Source organism: Homo sapiens, chromosome 13 (genome assembly GCF_000001405.40).
Source record: "Homo sapiens chromosome 13, GRCh38.p14 Primary Assembly".
Classification (NCBI taxonomy): Eukaryota; Metazoa; Chordata; class Mammalia; order Primates; family Hominidae; genus Homo; species Homo sapiens.
In genome coordinates, this window is record NC_000013.11 from 102,775,249 (window position 1) to 102,783,600 (window position 8,352).

The window sequence follows — 8,352 nt, forward strand, 5'->3', positions numbered from 1 at the left end:
GAACATGCTACAACACTTCCACCAGCACTCTGACAGTTTACGAATGCCATGGCAATGCCCAGACCTTACCTTATATGGTTTAAAAACGGAAGAATTCTCAGTTCCGGGGAACTCCCCACCCCTTTTCTAGAAAATTCGTGAATAACCCACCCCTTATTTAGCGTACGATGAAGGAGTAGGTATAAATATAGCTAGCCAGTGGCCGGGTGCCCTGGCGCATGCCTGTAATCCCAGCACTTTGGGAGACCAAGGCGGGTGGATCACCTGAGGTCAGGAGTTGGAGACCAGCCTGGCCAACACGGTGAAACCCGGCATCTACCAAAAACACAAAAATTACTCAGGCGTAGTGGCAGGCACCTGTAGTCCCAGCTACTCGGGAGCTGAGGCAGGAGAATTGCTTGAACCCTGGAGGCAGAGGTTGCAAAGCCGAGAAGAGCGCACCACTGCACTCCAGGCTGGGCAACAGAGCGAGACTCCGTCTCTCTCTCTCTCTCTCTCTATATATATATATATATACATACACACACACACATATACATATGTGTATATATACACACATATAATATATATCCGTACTATATATAGTATAAATACTATGTATACATATATAGTATAAATATTATATATAGTATTTATGTGTGTATGTATATACTATATACATATAGTCATATAGTATAAATACTATATACATATAGTCATATAGTATAAATACTATATATGTATATATGTGTATATATACACATATGTATATATAACATGTATATGTTTATATACGTATGTATATATTATATGTATGTATATATTATATATGTGTATATATGTGTGTATATACATATATATGTATATACACACATATGTATGTATATACATATATATGTATATGTAGATACATATATATGATATGTATGTATATACATATATATGTATATGTAGATACATATATATATATAGCTAGCCAGCAATCCATGAGTGTTACTCTGCCTGTGGGGTAGCCCTGCTCAGTTTACCAGAAGCAATTTTCCTGTGCTTTGTTGCTCTAATGTACTTGCTTTGCTTTCATTTTACTGTCAGTTTGCTCTTGAATCCTTTCCTGTGCAAAGTCAAGAACCCTCTCAGGCTGAGCTCCAATTTTGGGATTCACTGGCATTACAGCCATTCTCTGTTCCTACCCCTAACCCCGGGCAACCACTAACATACTTTCTGTCTCTCTGGATTTGCCTTTTCTGGACAGTTCATATAAATGGAGTCCTACACTGTATGGTCGTATGCCTCTAGCCTCTTGCACTTAGGATAATGTTTTCAAGGTTTATCCATGCTGTGACATGCATCAGAACTTTGCACCTTGTTACAACTCATATATTTTTATTGCCAAATAGTATTCAGCATTTTTGAGTATCCATTCACCAGTTGGTGGACATTTGAATTGTTTATACTTTTTGGTTATTATGAATAATTCTGCTGTGCCATTCAGAGAAACAAAAGGCGATGTGACGACAGAAGCGGAGAGATTTGAAGATGCCAAGATGCTGGCTGAGAAGATGGAAGAGGGGCCTCAAGACAAGAAATATAAGGACTGCAGCTCTAGAAGCTGGAAATAGCAAGGAAAAGTTTTCCCCTCTCAGAGACTCCAGAAGGAATCAGCCCTGCCAATACCTTGACATGAGCTCTGTGAAACTGGTTTCGGACTCTGACCTCCAAAACTGTGAAAGAATAATTTATGTTGTTTTCAACCACATAAGTTTGTGGTAATTTATCATAGCAACAATAGGAAACTAATACAAAAGCTTTATTTATGAACCAAAAATTGAATTTCATATATGCTTCTCATGTAATGAGATACTCTTCTTTTTATGTTTTTCAGCCACTTAGCAATGTTGAGATTATTCTTAGTTTGCAGGCTGTACAAACACTGGTGGTGGCTCAGATTTGGCCTGTGGGCTATAGTTTGAAATATCCTAAATTAAATATTAGTGCAATTAATTCAGCCATGTATTAAAATAATAATATGTAATAACCCTGGGTTTGTTTTTTTTTTAAACCCTGGGGTTTTATAATGTTTCAAAAATTAGAATGCTATTAATGTAATCCATTACAGATTAATGCAGCAAAAACAAAGCCAAATAAAACATGAGCATTTCAATAGATGACTTAAAAACATTTAATAAAATTTAATGCCTTTCCTATTGAAAAAGGAAATAAGTCAGTATTAGATTGGAAATGTATTGTTTTAATAGTGGTTGTTTATCATAAACTATACCAAACATTTTACTCGACATTGAAAAATCTGTAGCATCTTTGATGATCCAATCTAAAGTAGCCACCACTATCTACCCCACTTTTCTCTATAATACCCTATTTTTATTTATGACAATCCATAATTATCTTGTTTAGTTTTTACTTGTTAATTTCATTCTTTTTCAGAATAGACAGCAGTTGTTCACTTCTGTATCCTTAGAGCACAGTACAATGTCTGGCACATATTAGGTGCTCAACAGTTGTTGAACGAATTCCCATTTGTAATGCTAACTTTATGTGTCAAGTTGGCTGATCCAGGGTGCCTAGATAAGTGGTCACACATTATTCTGCATGTTTTGATGAGGGTGTTTTGGGATAAGATTACCATTTAAATCAGTGAACTGTGAGTAAAGCAGATTGCCCTCTGTAACGTGGCAGGGGGGGGGCCTCATCCAGTTAACTGAAGGAGTAAGTAGAACAAAAGACTAGCCTCCCTTGAGCAAGAGGGAATTCTGTCAGCAGACCGCCTTCAGGCTTGAACTGCAATACTAATCTCTCCTGGGTCTCCAGCCTAATGGTCTTTGGACTTTAACTGCAGATTTTGGACTTGCTAGCCTCTATAATTGTGTGAACCAATTTCTTAAAATAAATCCTTATGAACACACACACACACACACACACACACTCACACCCTTCTATTGGTCATATTTATCTGGAGAATCCTGACTAATGATATACCACTGAAGTCTGAAAGACAATAAGAATGCTTGTTGTCACCACAATCATTCAACATTATGCTAGAAGTTCCAGCCAATGCAATAAGGACAGAAAATAAATAAGATTATAAATATGGTAAAGAAGATACACTGTCAGTTTCAAATATGACTGTGTTTGAGAAAAAACAAGTGAAATGTATTAGAGCTAATAAAATCGTTCGTTAAGGGGTTGGGTACAGAACATATATAAAAATCTATAGTTTTCTTAGCTACATTAAATAACCAGCTAGTGAGACCCTGTCTCTACAAAAAAAAACACCCAAAAAACAAAAAACATAATCTTTTGAGCATTAAAAGACAATGAAATGAGAGTCTAAGATATACCATAAAGTAGGATGTATGCAGCATATACCACAAAGTACTAACTCCAAAATATATGTCTATGAATCCAGCAGGAAGTTGAACAACTTAGTAGGAAAATAAGTAAAAATTTAAAAAGATTAAAAATTTTACAGGAAAGGCAACACAAATGGCTCATAACCACAAAATGGTCAACCTCATTAATAATCAGAGAAATGAAAATTAAAACATAATGTGTTACCATTGTGTACTAATCAGATTGGCAAAAAATTTGTAAGTCTGATAATATCAACTGTTAGCAAGAAAGTAAAACAACTGCAAATTCTGTACAGCCCTGGAAAGAGCATAAACTGGGACAACCAATTTGGAATCATTTAACATTATCGAGTGAAATAACAGGTGTACATTCCTTATAACCCAGTAATTCCACTTCTAATCAAATGTGGCCAAGAAACATGAATAAGAATGTTTGCTGTAGCACTGATTGACATTCCCCCCAAATGAGAGGAATCCAAATGTCCATCTGCAATGGACGGTAAAATAAAGTGATCATATTTATATGGTGAAGTACTGTCCACATATAAAAAATGAATAAGGCTGGGTGTGGTGGCTCATGCCTGTAATCCTAGCACTTTGGGAGGCCGAGGCTGGCATAGCACTTGAGTTCAGGAGTTTGAGACAACCTTGGGCAACATGCTGAAACCCTGTCTCTACTAAAAATACAAAACATTAGCCGGGCAAGGCAGGCACCTATAATCCCAGCTACTCAGGAAACTGAGGCAGGAGAATCGCTTGAACCTGGGAGGTGGAGGTTGAAGTGAGCCAAGATTGTGCCATTGCACTCCAGCCTGAGTGACAGAGTGTGACTCTGTCTAAAAAAAAAATAGGCAAGTAACAACAACAAAAATTTGATATGATTCCATTTATATCAATTTCAAAATAGGCAAGAGTAAACTCTACTGCTTAGGGAAGTGTATGTAGGTGGTAAAACTAAAAAGCAAGAAAAAGATTATCACAGCCATCATGTTTGTGGTTACCTGGGAGCAGAGAGGAAATGTGATAAGAGGAGGCACTGTGGTCACCTCTAAGCAATGTTCTATTTCTGAACCCGAGTGGAAATGTCGAAGAAAAACCAGAGCTGGACGATAGTTAAAGTGGTAAAAAAACAGATGTTATTCAGGACTATTGCAACAGGGGAAAAGACACTTCAGTATAGGATTGGACTCAATTCTGAATACAGCATGGTTAAATGGGCATTTATAGCCAAGGAGCAGGGTAGGGAGTCAGTGGATGGAAAATTACTAAGAGGAAATGCATCAGGGTGACAGAGATTCTGGTTAAATAGACCAAATGGGATTCTAGCTGAAAACAGGCCAGCACGATCAGACATGACCTGGGGGATGGTAGAGGATGAGGAAGCAGATTAGATATAAAGTGTGGTCACATATGGAGGGTGGGGGATTTTTGTGAAACTGACTTAGCAGGGTTCTTGCTAAAATTGAATTTTATAAGGCAGTGCACAGATAGGCCTACGACAAGGTTCAGGAGGCTGATGAAAGGATGGTGATATGGTCTGGCTGTGTCCCTACCCAAATCTCATCTTGTGGCAGGCCAGGTCTCACTAACGCAGGCCTCCATACAACAGTTTCAGTACTGACTGAGTGGTTAAATTAAATGTTAAAAGCCAGCGTCCTTATACAAAGGCTGGAATGTAACAACAGCCCAACAAGAGTTTTGCCTAGGCCTTTCCTGAACCTTAAAGCATGATAAAACAAGTTTTACTGGGGGCCTGAAGAAACTCCCAAGGCCTCCATAAACTAATTTATTGGGAGTCTGAAGGAAATCCCTAAACCTTCGTGATTTAGTAGGAGACAAGATAAGGGTAATCACCCCAGCACCTGGACTCATTTAGATTAAGTACATTTACTGAGGCTCCAGAGAAAGGTCTTCAAGACTCAGACCTTAGTTACAGATTAAAAGAAGTTAATCACTTATGTGTTTAGATGAATGCATACTTAAATATAGACATATAGCTTGGAAGGTATATAGGCTCTGGAAAACTTTGTAATTTTCAGTTGGTCTGGTGATAATTTCCAGGCCTTCTCCCTGTAGCTGGTTACAGAAATAAAAACTCTCTTCCTCCCCAGTTCATCTGCATCTTCTTATTGGGCCACGAGAAATAGTAGCCTGACTCTCAGTTTGGTCTGGGAACAATCTTGAATTGTAGTTCCCGTAATCCCCATGTGTCATGGGATGGATCCAGTGGGAGGTAATTGAATCACGGGGGCAGTTACCCCCATGCTGCTGTTCTCAAGATAGCGAGTGAGTTCTCACAAGATCTGATGGTTTTATAAGGGGCTTTTCTCCCTTTGTTCAGCACTTCTTCCAGCTGGCATGTGAAGAAGGATGTATTCACTTCCCCTTCCACCATGATTGTAAATTTCCTGAGGCCTCCCAGCCCTGTGGAACTGTGAGTCAATTAAACCTCTTTCCCTTATAAATTACCCAGTTGTGGGTATGTCTTTTATTAGCAGCGTGAGAATGGACTAATACAGTAAATTGGTACTGCAGAGAGTGAGGTGCTGCTGTAAAGATACCCAAAGAATGTGGAAGTGACTTTGGAACTGGGTAACAGGCAGAGGCTAGAACAGTTTGGAGGGCTCAGAAGAAGACAGGAAAATGTGGAAAAGTTTGGAACTTCCTAGAGACTTGGAGGGCTTAGAAGACAGAAAGACATGGGAAAGTCTGGAACTTCCTAGAGACTTGTGGAATGGCTTTGACCAAAATGCTGATTGTGATATGGACAATGAAGTCCAGGCTGAGGTGGTGTCAGATGGAGATGAGAAACTTGTTGGGAACTGGAATAAAGATGATGCTCGATATACTTTACCAAAGAGGCTGGCAGCATTTGGCCCCTGCCTTAGAGATCTGTGGAACTTTGAACTTGAGAGAGATGATTTAAGGTATCTGGCAGAAGAAATCTCTACATGGCAAAGCGTTCAAGAGGAAGCAGAGCATAAAAGTTTGGAAAATTTTCAGTTTGACAATGTAACAGAAAAGAAAAACCCATTTTCTGGGGAGAAATCCAAGCTTGCTACAGAAATTTGCATAAACAAAAAGCCCAATGTTAATCATTAAGACAATGGGGAAATGTCTCCAGGGCATGTCAGAGACTTTCAAGGCAGCCTCTCCTATCACAGGCCCAGAGGCCTAGGAGGGAAAAATGGTTTTGGGGCCAGGCCCAGGGCCCCCTGCTGTGTGCAGCCTAGGGACTTGGTGGCTTGTGTCCTAGCCACTCTAGCTGTGGCTGAAAGGAACCAAGGTACAGCTTGGGCCATGGCTTCAGAGGGTGCAAGCCCCAAGCCTTGGCAGCTTACATATGGTGTTGAGCCTGCGGGTATGCAGAAGTCAATAATTGAAGTTTGGGAACCTCTGCTTAGATTTTAGAGGATGTACGGAAACACCTGGATGTTCAGGCTGGTTTGCTGCGGGGGCACAGCCCTCACTGCTAGGGCAGTGTGGAAGGGAAATGTGGGGTTGGGCCCCACACAAGAGTCCCCACTGGGGTAGTGCCAAGTGGAGCTGAAGAGGGGCACTGTCCTCCAGATCCAGAATGAGAGATCCACCAACAGCTTGCAGCTTGCACCTAGAAAAGCCGCAGACACTCAATGCCAGCTGTGGAAGCAGCTGGGGTGAGGGGCTGTGGCCTGCAAAGCCACAGGGGTAGAGCTGCCCAAGGCTGTCGGAGCCCACCTCTTGCATCAGTGTGACCTGGATGTGAGATATGGAGTCAAAGATTATTTTGGAGCTTTAAGATTTGATTACTGCCTTGTTGGATTTGGGGCTTGCATGAGGCTTATAGCCCCTTTGTTTTGGCCAATTTCTCCCATTTAGAACAGGTATATTTACCCAATGCCTGTACCTCCATTGTATCTAGGAAGTAACTAACTTGTGTTTGATTTTACAGGCTCATAGGTGGAAGAGACTTGCCTTGTCTCAGATGAAACTGTGGACTTGGACTTTTGGGTTAATGATGAAATAAGACTTTGGGGAACTGTTGGGAAGGCATGATTGTGTTTTGAAATGTGAGATGTGAGATTTGGGAGGGGCCGGGGTGGAATGATATGGTTTGGCTGTGTCCCCACCCAAATCTCATCTTGAATTGTAGTTCCCATAATCCCCACATGTTGTGGGAGAGACCTGGTGGGAGGTAATTGATTTATGGGGACAGTTACCTTCATGCTGTTCTTATGATAGTGAGTGAGCTCTCACGAGATCTGATGGTTTTATAAGAGGCTTTTTTCCCTTTGCTTGGTGCTTTCTCCTTGCTGCCATGTGAGAAAAGACTTGTTTTCTTCCGCTTCTGCCATGATTGCAAGTTTCCTGAGGTCTCCTGAGCCCTGTGGAACTGTGAGTCAATTAAACCTCTTTTCTTTATAAATTACCCAGTCTCAGGTATGTCTTTATTAGCAGCGAGAGAATGGACTAATACAGGTGGTCAAGCAAAGAATCTTTGTCAGTGATTACATGGATGTTTTCTTATAATTAAATTGCAGATATATGTTTAAATTGCAGATATATGTTTTATATTCTTCTGTATGTCTATTTCAAAATTCAAAATAATTTAGAAAAAATTATTTGACTGGAAGATGAATGGAAGAGAGAATATTAGGTAAAGGAATTTGTAGAATATGATATATGGTTCAGTGTTCAGATTTTTAGTTCTTTTTAAATTCTTTTAACTGCATTTCAAAGTGATTTTCATTCATTCATTTACTCATTGTGTTAATGCCATTTTTGTGTTGCTATAAAGAAATACCTGAGGCTGGGTAATTTCTAAAGAAAAGAGATTTATTTTGGTTCATCGTTCTGCAGGCTGTATAGGAAGTGTGGTGCCAGCATCTGCTTCTGGAGAGGGCTTCAGGAAGCTTCCAATCATGGTGGAAGGCAAAGTGGAGCCAGGGTATCAGGTGGCAAGAGAGGGAGCAACACAGAGAGAGGGGGAGGTGCCACACCTTTTAAAACCACCAGATCATGTGAA